Source organism: Homo sapiens, chromosome 22, assembly GCF_000001405.40.
Source record: "Homo sapiens chromosome 22, GRCh38.p14 Primary Assembly".
Classification (NCBI taxonomy): domain Eukaryota; kingdom Metazoa; phylum Chordata; class Mammalia; order Primates; family Hominidae; genus Homo; species Homo sapiens.
Window position 1 is genome coordinate 41,576,880 of NC_000022.11, and position 20,907 is coordinate 41,597,786.

Genomic DNA, 20,907 nt, shown 5'->3' on the forward strand with positions numbered 1-20,907 from the left:
CAGACACAGCTGACACCTACTTTGTTCTGGGAACTTTAATACTGTGACAAAGTTCTCTAAAATAGGCACCTTCCCCACCGTACCTCATCGCCCAGGGCAGGCAGGCAGGGCAGGCTAGATCTCGTACCGATACTTGAGCACGCCTCCTCCTGGTGCAGAAAGAAACCTCTTCTGTACCGAAATACAAGCAGCAGCTGTGGCCTGGGCCACCAGGTGGAGCATGGGGAACACTCTGGGCCCTGGGAGGACGAAGCCAGTGCCACTAGGAGCAGACTGGCTGGGGACGGTTGTCCACACAGACTCTGGCCCCATCTGGGTGGGCTTGCAGCAGGCGTCCTGGGCCAGAGGAGGGGCCCTGGCATCTATCCAACACCAGGACCTCTCTTTAGGCCTAGGCCAAACTCTTCAGAAGTCACGACACACAGATGTGGGCCCCGGTCACGCCTCATGAGCTGTCTCTGGGAAGAAAATCTCCCGGCATCGCTGCACCGTGTCCTGAGGAGACACCACGCTGTGGCCAACAGTCCGGGGGTCGGCAAAGATCTCAAAGTCGTTCCCACCCTGCACACAGAGGATGGGCAGAGGAGGGATATTTAGGTGGAGTCCCTCTCCACATTGGCTGCTACGGACCTGCCCCTCCTCCTGCCCCTTCAGAACTGCCAGGAAGCCCACCTTCTCACCCCTTGTCAGACCTGCCCTGACTTGCTGTGTGATGTAGAACAAGTGCCCAGCCTCTTGGGGCCCCAGCTTTCCAATCTGTGTAACGGGGCTGGTGAGCAATGGTTGTTCTCCAGGAGCCCCCTAAGAGGTCTGTTGTGTTGCCCCATGTTCTGGCCTTGACCTCAGGTGATTTGCATTGGAGAAGCCACCAGACCTGGCTTCTCACTGTCCACTGCGTTAGGGGAAACCTGGGGTGGGCCACACTCACAGGGCTAGTCTCGTTCCCAAAGAAGTGGATGGTGTCGAAGCTGTCCTGGTCCAGGCTATCCAGGCAGTAGCGCTTGTCCCAGCCCTCGGGGAAGACGTCAAAGCTGATCATGCCTCCTGTGGGCAGGGGTGGGGACTGTTATTCCCTGCTGGGAGGGGCAGACAAGGCTAACAGAAGGGCTGCTTGTTCATTCATTCATTCAACAACCCTTGAGTGCCTACTGAGGGCCAGGAATAGGACACGGGACAGACTTAGGATCCTCAAGGAAGTTATGACACAGGTTGGAGAATGAACAAGACCATGAAGTGGGTGGGGGAAGCTCATCCGGCCAGGGTGATCAGGGGAGACCTCTGAGGAGGTGGCAATGAGCTGGGACCTGAGCCGAGTGGGGATGGCTGGGGCGCAAAGTACAGCCCCTGAGGCAGGGAAGAGAACGAGCGTCCCAGCAACGGAGGAGGCCAGGAGAGGTAGGGGGAGGACGGGCAGGCCCTGGGCATCACATGGAGAGGGAGGAAGAGCCTGGGGAGGACTTTGGGCAGAGGCATGTCATGACTCCAGCTCCAGCCTCTCTGGCCACTGGGGAATGGGTGAGGTGGCAGAGGGGAGCCCAGTTGTGTCAGGGTCAGTTGGAGCCTGGGACAAGCTGCTGGCAGTGGAAGTGTGAGCACCGGTGGGATTCCAGACAGGGGGCCCTGTGACTTCTAGGAGTTTGGACTTGGGAAGGGGTGGGGGAGAGCATTCAAGGGAGAGGCTCTGGTTTTTTGGCCTGAGAAACTGGGTGGGCATGGGGCGTTTACCTCTGAGGTATGAGGTGGGGAAAACTGGGGGCCAGTAAACACTGAACCCCTTTCTGCATCGGGCTCAGCCACCCTCTCTGCCCTGAGCCGGGGAGGGGCTACTAAAGCTACTGGGGGCCACAGCCTGGTCTTGGCAGGGGCAGATGGTTTGAGGAGGGGCCCTGTACCAGGCCTCCCAGGTCCTCTGCAGGGTGGACGTACCTCGAGAGAACCTCAGCCCTTTGCCAGCAAACTCTGTTTTCAGGGCTTCCACGAACTTCTCCCGGATCTTCTCTTTCTGCAGAGGGGAGGGAGCGGATGGCAGCTCAGAGGACCTGCTGTGTGCCAGGCCCTGGCTGGGCACACAGTCCACGTGAGCGTGCTGAGCATTCTAGGTGGGTAGGACCCCCAACTGTGCAGATGCGCAAACTAAGGCTCAGAGAGGGGTTGTGCCTTGGTCAAGGTCACCTAGCCCTGGTGGCAGAGCCAGGGCCTAAATCCAGAAGGGATGGGGCTGCCAATGGGGCTGTGGGCTGGGTCTTCTGAAGGAGACCTCAGAGGAGAGACACGAGTAGGAAGGGCGAGGAGACGGGGCAATCTGGATCCCACATCAGTGTCCACCTCAGGGCAGGGCTCGATCCTGTTATCTGTAACCAGCTCAACAAAGCAAATACTCAGAAATGAGCATGGGAGCTGAGAGCAGGAGACCTGTGAGGAGGTGGCTGTGGGCATTCACAGAGGGCAGCAGGATGCCAGGCATGGCAGAGCACCCAGCATGCAAAGACGCGGCTGGGCTGGGGACTAGGTAGTGCCCAGGCCGGCCCCGTCCCTCTGAGCAGGAACTCTGGCAGCAGCTCCGCAAACGTGGAGCAGGGGGACATTCTCCCCGCCAGCCCCCAGGATCTCCATCTCAGAGGGCCACAAAGGGGAGCAGCTATGCCCAGTCTGAGGGGCAGCTGAACATCTAAACCAGCCAGCAGGACATTCAGCTGACAGAGGGTCTCGAGACCGGGCTGGGAAGTCTGACCACATCCTGGGGGACCAAGAGGCGCTGAGGATTCTGGAGCACAGGAGTGGGGTGGCTGGTATGGCCCTGTAGTCAGAGCCGGGTAGGACTGGGGCGGAAAGGCAGGCAGTGGTCAGCAGCATGGAGCTTGGAGAAGTGGCCCAGGGAGGATGTCAGATATAAAGCCAGACACCCCCTAGCCTGAGATCTGAAGGCAAGTAGCCAGGCTTGGCTACTGTACTCCTCAGCTGTGTGACCATGGGCAAGTCACCTGACCTCTCTGAGCCTATTTCCTGGACTAAAGGACAGAGAAGTAATGAATGACCCCTGCCTGCTTCCCTCTCATGGAAAAGCAGAGATAAGGGATGTGAGCCCCCTGCCAGCCTTGGCCTGGCTTTCCAGCAGGTAGGTGGGCCCCAGGGAGGCCAGAGTCCCCACCAGCGTCCACTCTGTAGGCCCAGGGCTACCACTAAGACTGCCCCAGGCTCTGAAGAAATGTTTCCACATGGCCGAGGCTGGCTGCACCTCCCTTCTCTGGAGAACAAGGCTGGTCACTAGACAGCCCCATGTGCAAGGCCAGCCTCAGCAGGGACCGGCACTGTGACCTCGAGCTGGTTACTCACCCTCTGGCCTCAGTGTCCTCATCTAAGGAAGGGAAGTACTCATCCCCGCTTCAGGGTTCTGGAAGATGAGCTGGGTTAAGCATTTATTTACACCAGCTCTGGGCCAGGGCAGGGCGCACAGATCAGGAAGGTTCATGCTCCTCCAGTGCCAGAAGGGAGCAAACAAGAGCCAAAAATACTTGAGAAGGCTCTGGGGTGGGGAGTTAGGGTGTGGCTCCCCAACTCCATGCCAGGTGGGGTCCATGTGCCACCTCATCCAGTGCTCATGACAGCCCATGGGATGGGAACTGCTATTACCCCCACCTTACACATAAGGAAACTGAGGCACACGTTAGTAAAGATGCTTTTCCAGGTTACAAGGCAAATGGGTAGAGCTGGGACTGGGAACCTGGGTGGACAGGAAGGGATAACTTCTCAGCACGTGTATTGGGGGGGAAGGGTTCTTTGCCTAAGACCAATCCTAACTACCCCAAAAAAAAAGTCCCCGTGGCCGGGCGCAGCGGCTCACATCTATAATCCCAGCACTTTGGGAGGCCAAGGTAGGCAGATCACTTGAGGCCAGGGATTTGAGACCAGCCTGAACATGGCAAAACCCTGTCCCTACTAAAAAATACAAAAATTAGGCCGGGCGCGGTGGCTCATGCCCGTAATTCCAGCACTTTGGAAGGCCAAGGAGGGCGGATCACAAGGTTAAGAGATCGAGACCATCCTAGCCAGCATGGTGAAACCCTGTCTCTACTAAAAATACAAAAATTAGCTGGGCGTGGTGGCAGGCGCTTGTAGTCCCAGCTACTTGGGAGGCTGAGGCAGGAGAATCGCTTGAACCCGGGAGGCAGAGGTTGCAGCGAGCCGAGATCTCACCACTGCACTCCAGCCTGGCGACAGAGTGAGACTCCATCTCAAAAAAAAAAAAAAAAAAAAAACCCAAAACCAAACCAAAACCAAAACCAAAACCAAAAAACTTAGCCAGGTGTGGTGGCATGGGCCTGTAATCCCAGCTACTCAGGAGGCTGAGGCAGGAGAATTGCTTGAGCCTAGGCAGCGAAGGTTGCAGTGAGCTGAGATCATGCTACTGCACTCCAGCCTGGGTGACAGAGCAAGACTCTATCAAGAAAAAAAAAAAAAGTCCCTGTGCCTGTGGGCACTGCCTCCCCTAAGCCTCAGGGCACAGGTGGGAGTCAGGAGTCACTGAGCTGAGAGGCACCCTCAGGGAGGCACCAGAGGGCCAATGGCAAAATCAAATCTTTGCTCTGCAACCAACTCCCTATGTGACCTCGGGCAGGGCCCTTCTCATCGAGCCTTGGTTTCCTCATTTATAAAATGGAGATAATACAGCTCATTTCATTCATTCAAAAGGTATTTCTTGCCGGGCACAGTGGCTCACACCTATAATCACTTTGGAAGGTTGAGGTGGGTGGATTGCCTGAGCTCAGGAGTTCGAGACCAGCCTGGGCAACACGGTGAAACCCCATCTCTACTAAAATACAAAATATTAGGCCGGGCACAGTGGCCACGCCTGTAATCCCAGCACTTTGGCAGGCTGAGGCAGGCGGATCACGAGGTCAGAAGATCGAGACCATCCTGGCCAACATGGTGAAACCCCGTCTCTACTAAAAATACAAAAAATTAGCTGGGCATTGTGGTGCATGTAATCCTAGCTACTTGGGAAGGCTGAGGCAGAAGAATCGCTTGAACCAGCGAGTCAGGGGTTCCAGTGAGCCGAGATTGTGCCACTGCACTCCAGCCTGGTGACAGAGCAAGACTCTGTCTAAAAAAAAAAAATTAGCCGGGCGTGGCAGCATGTGCCTGTAGTCCCAGATACTTGGGAGGCTGGGGCAGAAGAATTGTTTGAACCCGGGAGGTGGAGGTTGCAGTGAGCCGAGATTGTGCCACAGCACTCCAGCCTGGGTGACAGAGCGAAACTCAGTCTCCAAAAAAAAAAAAACAAAAAAGGGTATTTCTTTGCGAGGTGCGGTGGCTCACACCTACAGTCTTGGTGCTTTGGAAGGCTGAGGGAGAAGGCCCACTTGAGGCTAGGAGTTCAAAACTGGCCTGGGAGACACAGCGAGATCCCATCCCTACAAAATATTTTAAAAATTAGCCTGGCATGGTGTAATGCACCTGTGGTCCCAGCTACTCAGGAGGCTGAGGTGTGAGGATCGCTTGAGCCTGAGAGATCGAGGCTGCAGTGAGCTAGGACTGGATCACTGCACTGCACTCCAGACTGGGCAACAGAGTAAGACCCTGTCTCAAAAACAATAACAACAAAAAGTATGCCATGTGCCAAGCATAGGGGATCCAGAGGAGAACAAGCCGCAGAAATCCCTCATGGAGCTTACAGTTCTGGGACAGGGACAGACAGTAATTCGGATTTTAAAAGTAGATGATGAAAGTTGTCCAAGGCTACTTGGGGAGAAATAAGGTAGGGGAAGGAGGAGGAAGTGCAGCAGTGGATGTGATACTCTCGGAGGCCCCACTGGGAAAAGGATGTGAAAGGGGATTTGAAGGAGGGGAGGGACGAGCTGGGCCTGAGAGAAGTGTGCTCTGACAGAGGCACAGCACTCTAGAATCAGCCAAGAGGCCATAGCTGGAGCAGAGGGCAGGGAGAGCCACCGAACAGGTCAGAGAGAATGACAGAATGACGTGGACGGGCCAGCATGGAAAGGTCTGGATGGGTGGATTGCTCCATCCCCGAGAGGGAGGGAGGCGGTGGGGAGAAAAGCAAAATGCACATCAAGGTTTAGCAGGGGCAGTACAGGCAGAGGTGAGAGGACCTTGGTGTGTTCCAGGAATAGAAAGTGGAACTTGAAGGGCATAGAAAGGAGACGCGGAGAGCCAGAGCCAGACAGAGCCCTCAGGGCTTGAGGCACCATAGCAGGGGGCTAGGACATCATCCAGTTGGCAACGAGGAGCCAAGGAAGGATTGTAAATGAGGGGGTGGGGCTGGGGGGTGAATGCGGCTGACATGTTTGAAAGGTTCTAATGGGCTGTGCGTGGTGGCTCATGCCTGTAATCCCAGAACTTTGGGAGGCCGAGGCAGGCGGATCACCTTAGGTCAGGAGTTCGAGACCAGCCTGGCCAACGTGGTGAAACCCTGCCTCTACTAAAAAAGTACAAAAATTAGCTGGGTGTAGTGGTGCATGCCTGTAATTCCAGCTACTTGGGAGGCTGAGGCAGGAGAATCGCTTGAACACGGGAGGTGGGAGTTGCAGTGAGCTGAGATCATGCCACTGCACTCCAGCCTCTATCTATTTTTTTGGAGACTCTATCTCCAAAAAGAAAAAGAAAGAAAGGTTCTCAGTGGCATTGCTGGAGAGCAGGCTGGCAGGGCTATGCAAGGGGTAGGGAGGGACAGAGAGGAAAGTTGGGGCAGCCTGGGGCTGGGGAAAGGGGTAATCTAGAAAGTGGGGTCTCAGTTCTGCAGATGAACAGATTTGACACTGACTCGAGAGGCTGATGAAATAAGAGTTGTTGGACCCGATGTGGGTGGGAAGGTGGAAATGATGTTCCCAGGTGTTGGCCTGGCTCAGTGGGTGGCTGCCTGGTGCTGGTCACCTAGGAAGGGGGACCAGCAGCATTGTAAAGATGCAGGTGTGTCTACAACAATGGCACACAGTAGGTGCCTGAAAGGGTATCAGTTAAATCAGAACACATCCCCCAGTCTATTTTACTGATGAGAAAATAAAGGCTCAGATAAATTGAGTGACTGAGGCCCTACAGGCCTAAGATTGCATAGCTAGTGGTACCTTGTCCAGTTCGGAGAACTCGATCCTCTCCTCCAGGGTGCAGCTCCGGCCGATGGGCGAGATGTTCAGCATGCCATTCCGGAACTCGATGAAGGTTCCACTGGTGGTGAGGGAGGGCGGGGAGCCAGAGAGAACCAGAACGGCCCTGAATTCAAATCTAGCCCCACCTGGGACCCCAGCCTCCTAGGACTTCAAAGGGGACAAGAATCCACACTCCCCGCAAAAAATCAGGGGCCCAAGTATCTCCAGGTTCCCTCTGAGGGACCCACACTTCTCCTCCCTCAGGCCCCAGGTTCTGGAGACCAGGCTGGTGGGACCTCACCGCTTCTTGGGCAGCCTGAGCAGGGCCATGTAGCTGAGGCAGAAGTTGATCAAGTCCTGCAGCAGCTCCTCCCCCAGGTGGTTCTGGATGGTCTGGCCAAGGAACACAGGGCTCTGAGCGTGGCCTGGGCTGCCTGACCCTGAGACAGGCACAGTGTCTCTCCCCCAGCCCAGGACAGAAGCCCCCTTGGACTGCTCCACTATGGAAAAGTGGGGTGCCCCTGGCTAAGCCCTGGGGGACACTGACCTGCTTGGAGAGCAGTCGTCCGTGCTTATACTGCACCGTCCCGTTCTCGGCAAACACATAATCAAACTTCTCAATGACTTCAGGGTCACATAGAGGACAGGAGGAAGAAAGAGTGTGAGACCACGTCTGTGACCCCACGGGCAAGTAAAGAGAGAGGAAGCCTACACCCTTGGTTTCACATTCAAAGGCCATTTGTTCAATCTGAGGCTACAACCTGCTTCTCCAGCCTTTCTCCCTCTGCAGCTTGGTTTTCTTCCAAAGAAGCCAGTCACACCTGTGGGCCTCTGCACACAGGCATCCATGCAGGTCCTTCTGTCAGAACCGCCCTTCCCTGGCTTCCCTGCCACTCATCCTCCAAGATTCAGCTTCCTCCTCTGGAAGCCATGCAGTACTCTCTGGCAGAGGGCATCATTTCCACTCTGTGCTCCCCTGCCCCTCTGCAGAGGGGCTCCCTTCTGTTCTATAGCTGCCATCGCACTGGGTTCTCAAGGCTGGCTGCATGGGAGAGTTGGAGGTTTCAGCTCTGACTGCCAGGCGAAGCAGTTGGAGTGGGTGGGAGGTGGGAGGCACAGGGAGCACAGCCCAGAGGCTGTTGCGGGGTCTGGGTGGCACGTGGTTACCTGGACTATGATGGCGTGGTGGAGATGGAGACAGAGGGGACAGGGAGATATTTTGGGGTTTGCTGATGGAATAAACAAGAGGTGGGGAAAAGGAAAAATTCGAGGAAGTTTCTGGCTTGAGGAACTGGAGGCACCCACTTTGACTGGGCTGAGACCAGGGGCTCTGAGGTCCAGTCGATTTCCTGGATAACTTCAGAGTCATCCTCTGTTAAATGGGATGATCACGCCTACTCTAAAGTGTGATTGTGGGGATCAAATGCAATGACATTAACACATGATCATTTTTGACAAATGGTAGCCATCATTGGTTCTGCCCTTTTATTTATTTATTTATTTATTTATTTATTTATTTATTTATTTTTGGATGTGTAGCCTCACTCTGTCACCCAGGCTGGAGTGCAGTGGCCTGATCTTGGCTCACTGCAACCTCCGCCTCCCAGGTTCAAGCGATTCTCCTGCCTCAGCCTCCCGAGTAGCTGGGATTACAGGCACGTGCCAACACACCCAGCTAATTTTTTGTATTTTTAGTAGAGACGGGGTTTCACCATGTTGGCCAGGCTGGTCTTGAACTCCTCATCTCAAGTGATCCATCCGCCTCGGCCTCCCAAAGTGCTGGGATTACAGGCGTAAGCCACTGTGCCGGCTGGTTCAGCCCATTTTAAAGATGAGGAAATCAAGACTCAGCAGGGAGAAATGAGAATGTAAACTGCATAAGGGCAGGTTCTGCTTGCTTTGCCCCAGCCATTTCTCAAGGGCCTGGCACAATCCCTGGCAATAGGAAGTGCTCAAGTGTTTGTCAAATCAGTAAGGGAACTATCTGGCTGCTCTCTCTCTATTTCTTCTGCCCCACAGAAGCAGGACTGGATCTTTGAAGACGCCCAGGAATCTCTCAAACTCCCCACTCCCTCTACCCCCAGCCTCACTCCTACCTTCATCCCCGTCACCCAGCTGCTCAGCGATCTTACAGTAGTCAGAGCCGCCCACCACACCGATCTGCACTCTACTTCGTAGCTTCTGCAGGAAGGCGGCCACCTCAGGGTCAATTTTCTATGGGGGGAGAGGGGAAGCATAGCATTCTGGCTTTCAACATGTCTGGGACCTCCACTTAGCCCTCACTTAGTGCTGAGAACCCAGGAAGCCCACATTCTACCTGGATCTGAAGCAGTACAAAGCTTAGACACCAAAAATTAGACAGGTTGGACACTGTGGCTCAGGTCTGCAATCCCAACACTTTGCGAGGCCAAGGCAGAAAGATCACTTGACCCAGGAGTTTGAGACTAGAGCCTAGGCAGCAAAGGAAGACATTGTCTCTATGAAAAAAAAAATTTTTTTGGAGACGAATTTTTGTTCTGTCATCCAGGCTGGAGTGCAGTGGTGTGATTCTGGCTCACTGAAACCTCTGCCCAGGCTGGAGTGCGATGGCGTGATCTCAGCTCACTGCAACCTCTGCCTCCCGGGTTCAAGCGATTCTTCTGCCTCAGCCTCCCGAGTAGCTGGGATTACAGGCGCCTGCCACCATGCCCAGCTAAGTTTTAAATTTTTAGTAGAGACAGGGTTTCGCCATGTTGGCCAGGCTGGTCTTGAACTCCTGACTTCAGGTGATCCATCCGCCTGGGCCTCCCAAAGTGCTGGGATTATAGGCGTGAGCCACCGTGCCTGGCCGAAAGTTTTTAAAAATTAGCCAGGCATGGGCTGGCACGGTGGTTCACACCAGTAATCCCAGCACTTTGGGAGGCCCAGGAGGGTGGATCACTTGATGTCAGGAGTTCGAGACCAGCCTGGCCAACATGGTGAAACTCTGTTTCTACTAAAAATTAAAAAAAAAAAAAAAAAAAAATTGGCCATGCGCGGTGGCTCACGCCTGTAATCCCAGCACTTTGGGAGGCCGAGGCGGGTGGATCACAAGGTCAGGGGATTGAGACCATCCTGGCTAACATGGTGAAACCCTGTCTCTACTAAAAAATACAAAAAAATTAGCCGGGCGTGGTGGCACGCGCCTGTAGTCCCAGCTACTCGGGAGGGCTGAGGCAGGAGAATGGCGTGAACTTGGGAGGCAGAGCTTGCAGTGAGCTGAGATCACGCCACTGCACTCCAGCCTGGGCGACAGAGCGAGACTCCGTCTCAAAAAAAAAAAGAAAAAAAAATTAGCTGGGCGTGGTGGCAAGCGCCTGTAATCCCAGCTACTCAGGAGGCTGAGGCAGGAGAATCCCTTGAACCCGGGAGGTGGAGGTTGCAGTGAACCGAGATCATGCCATCGCACTCCAGCCTGGGGGACAAGAATGAGATTTCATCTCCAAAAAAAAAAAAAAAAAAAGATATTAGCCAGGCATGGTGGCACTTGCCTGTAGTCCCAGCTACCAGCTACTCCAGAAGCTGAGGCGGGAGAATCACTTGAGCCCAGGAGTTCGAGGCTGCAGTGAGCTGTGATAGCGCCACTGCACTCCAGACTGAGTGACAGAGTGAGACCCCGGTCTCTAACAACAACAACAACAAAATAGCATCACAATCAAGTTGATTTTTGAGGAGCCAAAGAACAATAACAAAAATAGCCTCACAAAACAATGCTTAATATTTGCTCTGGGCAAATAGATCCAGATAAAGGCCTGGAGGGAAGCCACACCACAGTAACCACATTAACTTGGGGAGCCGGCCAGGCTCCCCAAGTGCGGTCAGAGTGGACTTTACCCTTCTCTGTTACGTTTCCATTCTTTACCAGGAGAGTGTGCTCATGAAAATGTGTACGATTAAAAATTAACTTTCAAAAGGCACTAAGCACAGAGGCTGGCCCGTAGACAAATTAATAGGCTGTTCTTATTCAGGTTGTTATGTTTGTGGAGCAAAAGGTCAGAGGGAGGAGTCAGAACTGTGCCTAGGCCCTGCCACTTTTGTTCCAGTTCTTTTATTCATTTATTTGTTTGTTTGAGACGGAGTTTCACTCTTGTTGCCCAGGCTGGAGTGCAATGGCACAATCTTGGCTCACTGCAACCTCCACCTCCTGGGTTCAATCGATTCTCCTGCCTCTGCCTCCCCAGTAGCTGGGACTACAGGCACACGACACCACGCCCATCTACTTTTTGTTTTGTTTTGTTTTGAGACTGAGTCTCCCTCTGTCGCCCAGGCTGTAGTGCAATGGCACATTCTCGGCTCACTGCAACTTCTGCCTCTCGGGTTCAAGTGATTCTCCTGCCTCAGCCTCCCGACTAGCTAGGATTACAGGTGCATGCCACCACGCCTGGCTAATTTTTTGTATTTTTAGTAGAGATAGGGTTTCACGATATTGGTCAGGCTGGTCTTAAACTCCTGACATCGTGATCTGTCTGCCTCGGCCTCCCAAAGTGCTGGGATTACAGGCGTGAGCCACTGAACCCAGCCTAATTTTTGTATTTTTAGTAGAGACGGGGTTTCACCATGTTAGCCAGACTGATCTAGAATTCCTGACCTCAGGTGATCTGCCCACCATGGCCTCCCAAAGTGCTGGGATTACAGGCGTGACCCACAAGCAAATGGCCCACCTTTGCTCCAGTCCTGCTATCTTCCTCCCGGATCCACCCCTGCAGGAAGGCCTCCAGGGCCCAAGCCAGGGCAACTTCACCACAGAGGATGGGGAGGGGCATTCGGGACCTAAGAGAGGAGGCTAAGACCTGGGTTCCCATCAGCCACTGCCCAGTAAAGCCCATCCCACTGCTCCCCCACGCTAGGAGACCTGTTGGTTGGTCCTTGAGGCCCCCAGACTGGAGGGTGGGTTACCCACAGGGAGGGCATGAATGAAGCCTGCTTACTGATGCATCCAGCTGGTGAGGGGGCTTTTGGGGACTCACTCACAATGAGACCCAATGGGAGAAAAACTGAGCAGAGGTAAGAGGCTCAACACAGCGAGAGTCTTTAGAAGAAAACTAGACTCTTACCCTCACTATTCCTCAGTGTCCTCACAGCAAACAGGCTAGGCCTGGAGCCTCTCACATCCGGGTGGGTAGAGCTCATAAACGAATTTGAAAAGAAGCCCTCTCTGCTCCACGACTGGGGGTGGAAGGTAAAGTGGGTGATGGGGCTTCAGAAACTAGACCCAGTCCCAGGCCTGCAAAGGTCGGGGTGGGAAGACTCCGAGACGCCCTGTCTCCCACCAGATGATGACTGACGCTTGGCTGTGTGCTTGTGTGCCTGGAACCCCGGTTCAGAAGCCAGCTCCGACCACTGGTGTGTCGTAGGGCTGAACTAGGGTGGGATCCCCAGCTCAGGAGGCGGGGGCGTCCGTGAGCCAGGCCTTAGCGGCGTGTGACAGCCTCCGGGGAGGGAGGGAGCTAGGCCCCTGCTCGCAGCCTCCTCCCTCCAGTACTGGATCCAACCCCAGCACTCCCAAGCAGAACACAGGCAAGGACGCTGCGGGGTCAGTGACGTGAGGGCCAGGTCCCCTCACTCCCGGTGGGTGGCCCCGGATGTCAGGGGGCCGGGTACCGCCGCATCCCACACTCGGTCCCCGGGTGTCCACGGTCACGCTGCTGCAGACCCCACACTCAGCCTCGGGGGTGTCCGCGTGACACTCCCGGTGGGAGCTTCCAATCTTCAGGGTCCTACCTGGCGAGCCGGCGTGAGGGTCCCGTCCACGTCAAACAGGCAGAGGACGCGCTCCTTCCTGCGGGCTGCCTGGGCGGTGACTGCCATGGCTGCAGGTCCGCGCGCGGGGCGGAGTCCCGAAGATGCAACGGCAGAAGCAGCTCAGGGATAAGTGCTGACGGGGCGGGGCATTAGGGGGCGGGGGCCAGTGGACTGCCTGATTGGCCAAATGAAGAAGGGGCGTGGTCTAGGCGGGCGGAAGCGGGGGCGGGGCCTGAGCTGATTCTCATTGCTCGTGGAGGAGGGGAGCGCGGCATAGGGCGGAGCGGAGCCCTCCAGGTTCGATTGGATTGCTCCAAACAAGGCGGAGGAGGGGCCTGAGCCTGGGACCCGCAGGAAGTGAGAGGGTGAACCCGGAAGACAGGGGCGGGGCCAGAATTGGCGGGTTGATAGTGATTGCAACAGGCCGATTAAGGGGCTGGGTCGGGCGGGGCCTCTACCATGCAGTGCAGTGTCTAGTGGGCCAGGCGGGACTAAGAGAGCCGAGGTCGCTCCCCATCCACTCTCACAAGGTTTGTGGCCATCTCTTTGCCTTACAAATTTTGAGCTGTAGGAAATCTCCTGAGCCGGGCGCGGTGGTTCACGCCTGTAATCCCAGCAGTTTGGGACGTCGAGGCGGGCGGATCACCGGAGGTCGGGAGTTCGAGACCAGCCTGACCAACATGGAGAAACCTCGTCTCTACTAAAAATACAAAATTAGCCAGGCGTGGTGGCGCATGCCTGTAATCTCAGCTACTCAGGAGGCTGAGGCAGGAGAATCGCTTGATTCCAAAGAAGCCAGAGGTTGCGGTGAGCCGAGATCGCGCCATTGCACTCCAGCCTCAAAAAAAAAAAAAAAAAAAAAAAAGGAAAGAAAAGAAAAGAAAAGAAATCTCCTGAAGGCCTTTGTTCAGGCTTTGGACTTTGCCAAATTGCCTTCCCCGAGCCTTATTCCTTCTGTCCACACATAAGACCCAGCTCTCAGGGTCTACCTGCTTGGAGACCTTCCCAGATTCTTCTTTTTTTTTTTTTTTTTTGAGACAGAGTCTCGCTCTGCCCAGGCTGGAGTGCAGTGGCGGGATCTCTGCCCACTGCAACCTCCACCTCCCAGGTTCAAGCGGTTCTCATGCCTCAGCCTCCCGAGTAGCTGGGACTGCAGGCGTGTGCCACCATGCCCACCTAATTTTTGTATTTTTACTTACTTTTATGTTTATTTTATTTTATTTTTGACACAGGGCGATTTATTTATTTATTTATTTATTTTTTGAGACTGGGTCTCACTCTGTTACTCAGGTTGGAGTGCAGTGGCATGATCTCGGCTCACTGCAACCTCCGCCTCCCAGGTTCAAGTGATTCTCCTGCCTCAGCCTCCTGAGTAGCTGAAACTACAGAAGTGCGCCACCACGCCCGGCTAATTTTTTTTTTTTTTCTGAGACGGAGTTTTGCTCTTGTTGCCCAGGCTGGAGTGCAATGGCACGATTTCAGCTCACCACAACCTCTGCCTCCCGAGTAGCTGGGATTATTTTGTACCCACTACCACGCTCGGCTAATTTTTTATTTTTAGTAGTAATTTTGTATTTTCACCATGTTAGCCAGGCTGGTCTCGAACTCCTGGCCTCAGGTGATCTGCCTGCCTCAGCCTCCCAAAGTGCTGGGAATACAGGCATGAGCCACCGTTCCCAGCCAACCTTCCCAGATTCGATTCACAATTATTTAACCATTGCGTTGACTTTGGAGTCACTTCCAGGTTGCCTTCCCAGCTCCACCACTATGGGACCTTGGACAAGTCACTTCACCTCTCAGAGGCTTTGTGTCTTCACCTATAAAATGGGATGAACACCACCTGCTTTGTAGGTTTGCTTTTCACATGAAAATAAGTAACAGGCTGGGCGCGGTGGCTCACGCCTGTAATCCCAACACTTTGGGAGGCCGGGATGGGCAGATCACCTGAGGTCATGAGTTTGAGACCAGCCTGGCCAACATGGGGAAAGTCCGTCTCTACTAAAAATACAAAAATTAGCCGGGCATGGTGGCAGGAGCCTGTAATCCCAGCTACTTGGGAGGCTGAGGCGGAAGAATCACTTGAACCTGGAAGGCGGTGGTTGCAGTGAGCCGAGATGATGCCACTGCGCTCCAGCCTGGGAGACAGAGGGAGACTACACCTCAAACAAACAAACTAACTAACTAACTAACTAACTAAATAAATAAAAAATAACTGTAGAGCTGGATGCGGTGGCTCACACCTGTAATTCCAGCACTTTGGGAGGCCAAGGTGGGTGGATTGTTTGAACCCAGGAGGTCAAGATCAGCCTGGGCAACATGGCAAAATGCTGTCTCTACTAAAAATACAAAACATTAGCCAGGCATGGTGGCAGGCACCTGTGGTCCCTCAGGAGGCTAAAGTAGGAGAATCACCAGGAAGCTGAGGCTGCAACGAACCAGATCTTCCCACTGCACTCCAGCCTGGGTAACAGTAGTGAGACCCTGTCTCAAGAAAAAAAAAAAAAAAGATGCAGATCATATGAGTCAGCAATTCAACTTTTAGAAAATAGGAAAAGAGGCTGAGCGCGGTAGCTCACGCCTGTAATCCCAGCACTTTGGGAGGCCAAGGCAGGCAGACCACAAGGTCAAGAGATCGAGACCATCCTGGCTAACGTGGTGAAACCCCGTCTCTACTAAAAATACAAAAAATTAGCCAGGCGTAGTGGCGGCACCTGTAGTCCCAGCGACTCGGGAGGCTGAGGCAGGAGAATCCCTTGAACCCGGGAGGCGGAGCTTGCAGTGAGCCGAGATCACACCACTGCACTCCAGCCTGGGCCATAGAGCGAGACTCTGACTCGGAAAAAAAAAAAAAAAGGCCAAGCGCGGTGGTTCACACCTGTAATCCAGCACTTTGGAAGGCTGAGGTGGGCGGATCACGAGGTCAGGAGATCGAGACCATCCTGGCTAACACGGTGAAACCCCATCTCTACTAACAATACAAAAAATTAGCTGGGCGTGGTGGCGGGTGCCTATAGTCCCAGTTACTTGGGAGGCTGAGGCAGGAGAATGGTGTGAACCTGGGAGGCGGAGCTTGCAGTGAACCGAGATCACGCCACTGCACTCCAGCCTGGGCAACAGAGCAGACTCCGTCTCAAAAAAAAAAGAAAGAAAAGAAAATAGAAAAAAGGAAAAATATATGGAATTGTTTAAATGAACTAAGACCCATCTAGAAGATGAAATGCTACGAAGCCATGAAAATCTGCATTGTGTTTGTGTGCGTGTGCACGTGTGTGTGTAGAATAGGGTCTCACTATTTTGTCCAGGCTGCTCTCAAACTCCTGGCCTCAAATGGTCCTCACGACTCAGCCTCCCAAAGTGTTGGGATTACAGGCGTGACCAAAGTGTTGGGATTACAGGCCTGACCCACCGCACCAGATCCCCAGGCACAATTCTTGTTTTTCTGACTGGGTAGCTATGGTGTCCTGGAGAGATCATTGGAGTTGGAATCAGGAGAACTGCAGTTTGGTCCTGGCTAACTACAAGGACTTGGACAGGTCACCTTTCCTCACTGGGCTTCAGTTTCTTTATATGTAATGAGGATATAAACCCCACGTGATAGAACTATGAAAGGTGATGAGAGGTGACAGCGTACTAGCAGCCCTCGCTCACTCTTGGTGCCTCCTCAGCCTCGGCGCCCATTCTGGCCGTGCTTGAGGAGCCCTTCAGCCCGCCGCTGCACTGTGGGAGCCCTTCTCTGGGCTGGCCGAGGCCGGCGCCGGCTCCCTCGGCTTGCGGGGAGGTGTGGAGGGAGAGGCACGGGCGGGAACCGGGGCTGCAAGCGGCGCTTGCGGGCCAGCTAGAGTTCTGGGTGGGCGTGGGCTTGGCGGGCCCCGCACTCAGAGCGGCAGGCCGTGCCGGCCCGAGCAGTGAAGGGCTTAGCAGCCGGGCCAGCAGCTGTGGAGGGTGCGCCGGGTCCCCCAGCAGTGCCGGCCCACCGGCGCTGCGCTCGATTTCTCACAGGGCCTTAGCTGCCTCCCCGCTGGGCAGGGATCGGACCTGCAGCCCGCCATGCCTGAGCCTACCCTCTGCCGTGGGCTCCTGCGCAGACAGAGCCTCCCCGGCGAGCGCCGCCCCCTGCTCCATGGCGCCCAGTCCCATCGACCACCCAAGGGTTGAGGAGTACGGGCGCACGGCGCGGGACTGGCAGGCAGCTCCACCTGCAGCCCCGGTACAAGATGCACTGGGTGAAGCCAACTGGGCTCCTGAGTCTGGTGGGGACTTGGAGAACCTTTATGTCTAGCTAAGGGATTGTAAATACACCAATCGGCACTCTGTATCTAGCTCAAGGTTTGTAAACACACCAATCAGCAGCCTGTCTAGCTCAGGGTTTGTGAATGCACCAGTCGACACTCTGTGTCTAGCTACTCTGGTGGGGACTTGGAGAACCTTTGTGTCCACACTCTGTAACTAGCTAATCTAGTTGGGACGTGGAGAACTTTTGTGTCTAGCTCAGGGATTGTAAAGGCACCAATCAGCACCCTGTCAAAACGGACCAATCAGCTCTCTGTAAAACAGACCAATTGGCTCTCTGTAAAATGGACCAATCAGCAGGATGTGGGTGGGGGGGTGGGGGAGGCGGTGGGGGGGTGGGGGAGGCGGTGGGGGGGTGGGGGTGGGGGCGGGGGTGGTGGCGGGGGTGGGGGGGGCGGTGGGGGCGGGGGGTGGCGGGGGTGGGGGTGGGGGGCCAGATAAGAGAATAAAAGCAGGCTGCCAGGAGCCAGCAGTAGCAACCCTCTGGGGTCCCCTTCCGCAACGTGGAAGGTTTGTTCTTTCGCTCTTTGGGTCCACACTGCCTTTATAAACTGCAACACTCACTGCGAAGGTCTGCAGCTTCACTCCTGAAGCCAGTGAGACCACGAACACAACCAGCAGGAACGAATAACTCCAGACTGGCAGCCTTAAGAGCTGTAACACTCACCGCGAAGGTCTGCAGCTTCACTCCTGATCCAGCGCGACCACGAAGCCACCGGAAGGAAGAAACTCCGAACACATCCGAACGTCAGAAGGAACAAACTCCGGACACGCCACCTTTAAGAACTGTAACACGGCCGGCGCGGTGGCTCACGCCTGTAATCCCAGCACTTTGGGAGGCCGAGGCGGTGGATCACGAGGTCAGGAGTCCGAGACCAGCCTGACCAACATGGTGAAACCCCGTCTCTACTAAAAATACAAAAATGAGCCGGGCGTGGTGGCGCATGCCTGTAATCCCAGCTACTCAGGTGACTGAGGCAGGAGCATCGCATGAACCCAGAGGTTGCAGTGAGCCGAGATCGCACCACGGCCCTCCAGCCTGGGTGACAGAGCAAGACTCTGTGTCAAAAAAACCAAAACAAAACAAAACAAAAAAACCAAACTGATGCTTATTCCTTTACTATGGGCTGACCACCACACAGGACACTTGACCAGGTATCTTCATTTTCCTGTTCCATGACTGAAGAATTCCTAGAAACAGATGAAGTGCGAATTCCTGGGCCCTACCCGTAGTGCTTGGATCCAGAACATCTGGAAGGTGGCCCACTGGGCAGGAGGGGTGTTTGTCTCCTATGGACTGGATCTACTTTTCTAAAAACAGAGATAAGCACCCTTGGCCCCTTAACAAATGGGCTGCTGCTTACAAATCCCTTTCCTACAGTCTCTCCGTAAATTCTCATAACAACCCTTTCCACATGATGAGGCCACTGAAACCCAGAGAGGGAGAGTTATTTGCCCTGAGGTACAGACCCAGGAGGACCAGGTAGGGGGGTACCTGTGGCCACCACTATGTCCCTTTAAGAGGAAGGCTTATCCCTGGCAACTGGTGCTCAGATGGGGACCAGGGGAGGCCTTGGGGAGAAAAGAGCAGGACTGGTGGGAGGGAAGACTGGACAGAAAGGTGACTTGGAGGGACCCAGAAGCAGCCAGGACTGAAAGTGGAGGGCCTGAGACCTGAGCCTGGCAGGATTCTGCTATGAAGGGAAGACCCTGGGCTCTTCTGGGCCAGACGTGTGGCTGAAGTTTGGAGGTTAGTGACTTTCATGTTTGGTTTGGGTATTTCACTTATTTTTCCCAACACATCTCTGAAGACAGTACCCTTATACTCAATTTCCAGAGGTAGGTACTGACATCAGAGAGGTGCAACGGCTTTTCTAGGGTCACACAGCACAGTCGAGATTCCTCCTCAATCCCGTCTTGCCAAAACCCAGGCTTTTCCCTGGCTCCTGGCTATTGGTAGGAGGCCATGTGTCAGTATGTCCAAGTACCGGGGCTGTCAATGCTCTTTTTCTGTACCTGGTATGTGACTTGTTGTGTATGGGTGGTCCAGGCCCAAGGGGCAGCCTCTGTGTAGTGGGGTTTACAGGCAGGCTGACAATTCCTGGAGTTCTCCTCCCACTAGTGACTTTGGGCAGGTCCGTCCCACTCTGTGAGGTGGTTGTTCATTTACAAATGGGGTCAACACCCTCCTAAAGGCTGTGTAGTTAAGAAGCCTAGGGGCAGCAGGGGAGGTGTGCTGTGTGCTGAGGTTGGGGGAGACTGTGGAATTCTTTTTTTTTTTTAGATCTGTTGCCCAGGCTGGAGTGCAGTGGCACCATCTCACAATCTTGGCTCAATCCAACCTCTCCCTCGTGGGTTCAAGTGATTCTCCTGCCTCAGCCTCCCAAGTAGCTGGGATTACAGGTGCATACCACCACACCCAGCTGATTTTTGTATTTTTAGTAGAGATGGGGTTTCACCATGTTGGCCAGGCTGGTCTTGAACTCTTGACCTCAGGTGATCCACCTGCCTCGGCCTCCCAAAGTGCTGGGATTACAGGCGTGAGCCACCTCGCCTAGCCTGTTTTTTTGTTTTGTTTTGTTTTTTAACTTTCAAAATGCCTGCAGTGCTTACATTGTCTTCATAATAAGCAAGTCCATTGAGTCTAAACAAGCTGAAGGGCGCATGCTCAGATGGCTTTGTAGGAGGAGGTGGAGGCTGTTGCTGGGTTGGCTCAGGCCCTCTGGGGCTCTCTCAGACAAAGTCAATGGGGACAGATATGGCCCAGGCCACAACACTGTTCCACCTGGGGGTGTGGAACAGGAGCGGCAGCCTGACAGCTGGGGTCAGTGGGCTCTGCAGGTCAGAGCTCAGCCCAGAACTGTGAGAACTTGGGCAAGTCTCTCTCCTGACCTTGCAAGCCAGGGGTGGGGAGCGGAGTCATACTGGGAGGGACTTAGAAAGGATCCAAGGCCTTTGTCATGGTCTCAAAATCTGGGGCTCACCCCATGCCAGGCCCTGCCCTGGGAGGTACTGGGCTGGTGGGAGTGCGTTGGAGGTACCCATGGGAGCAAGGAGTCAGCTCTGGGTGGGGACAGGTCAGAGGACATGCTGGAACTGGGCCTTTAGCACTGAACAAGGGGTGGGGAAAGGGGATCCAGGTGGAGCAAAGGGTGAACCGAGGCTTGGAGGTGTGAAACCACCAGAAGTGACAGGGACTGGGACTGGCACTTGCAGCAGGGTGTGGGGTAGGACCAGGGTGTTCAAGGACAAGATTGAGAAGGGCCTTGATAAATGAGGACAAGGAGCTTGGCTCTTACCCCATGGGCTCGTAGGGGTCCACACGGGCTGAGGGGAGCTGGACGAGCTTACTGAGGTGGCCGAGGGTACCCAAGACCAGCCTGGCATTGGGCGTTGGGCAGTAGGCTGGGCCTGGTGTGCAGGGCCACAGCGCCACCTGGTATCCATCACTCTCACTGCAGCGTGACCTTGCCTGGCTCTCCAACCTGGGAACCAGTGGGGCAGCCTCGTCCCAGACACACTCTGCCTCTTTCAAGAGCAGCCAGGCCCTGTGGTCAAGGGCTCACATTCAGTGGTGTGCCAGGCCCCCACTAGGCTCCTTGCGTGCCCTCTCAGCTACAGCCTGTCTGGGCATGAGGAGCCACAGACCCAACCTAGAGCCAAGTTGAAAGTAGAAGTGAACACTTTTCGGTGAGGTCAGACACTCCTGATAGCTAGAGGAAGACTACAGAATTTGAAGTTATCAGACAAAGCATTG

At 54.6% G+C, this 20,907-nt stretch overlaps 1 protein-coding gene across 7 annotated transcripts, besides 3 other annotated features; it reads right to left on the reverse strand.

Moving 5' to 3' along the window:
* Positions 1–20: 20 nt before the first annotated feature.
* PMM1 (phosphomannomutase 1) lies at positions 21–12,961 on the reverse strand. Of its 7 annotated transcripts, none has more exons than XM_011530230.3 (9): positions 12,840–12,961; positions 11,780–11,888; positions 9,197–9,314; positions 7,648–7,724; positions 7,402–7,493; positions 7,080–7,179; positions 1,927–2,002; positions 929–1,044; positions 21–561 (listed from the first exon to the last, which is right to left on the reverse strand). In XM_011530230.3, the coding sequence occupies exons 2-9, from the start codon at positions 11,879–11,881 to the stop codon at positions 439–441; spliced, it is 804 nt and encodes a 267-aa protein (XP_011528532.1). In that variant the 5' UTR covers positions 11,882–11,888; positions 12,840–12,961; the 3' UTR covers positions 21–438. The 7 variants fall into 7 exon arrangements, with proteins under 7 accessions (XP_011528532.1, XP_011528531.1, NP_002667.2 ...); XM_011530229.3 differs by lacking the exon at positions 7,402–7,493 and adding an exon at positions 12,173–12,284; NM_002676.3 differs by lacking the exon at positions 11,780–11,888.
* Positions 12,086–12,765: an enhancer, noted in NCBI's record as "H3K27ac-H3K4me1 hESC enhancer chr22:41984969-41985648 (GRCh37/hg19 assembly coordinates)". NCBI's record gives its function as "activates a minimal SCP1, AML or CMV promoter by ChIP-STARR-seq in naive H9 embryonic stem cells {active_cell/tissue: H9 hESC(naive)}" and the evidence as "EXISTENCE:reporter gene assay evidence [ECO:0000049][PMID:30033119]".
* Positions 13,160–13,309: a silencer, noted in NCBI's record as "silent region_13794". NCBI's record gives its function as "represses an Ori minimal core promoter by ATAC-STARR-seq in GM12878 lymphoblastoid cells {active_cell/tissue: GM12878}" and the evidence as "EXISTENCE:reporter gene assay evidence [ECO:0000049][PMID:35858748]".
* Positions 20,490–20,539: an enhancer, noted in NCBI's record as "active region_19122". NCBI's record gives its function as "activates an Ori minimal core promoter by ATAC-STARR-seq in GM12878 lymphoblastoid cells {active_cell/tissue: GM12878}" and the evidence as "EXISTENCE:reporter gene assay evidence [ECO:0000049][PMID:35858748]".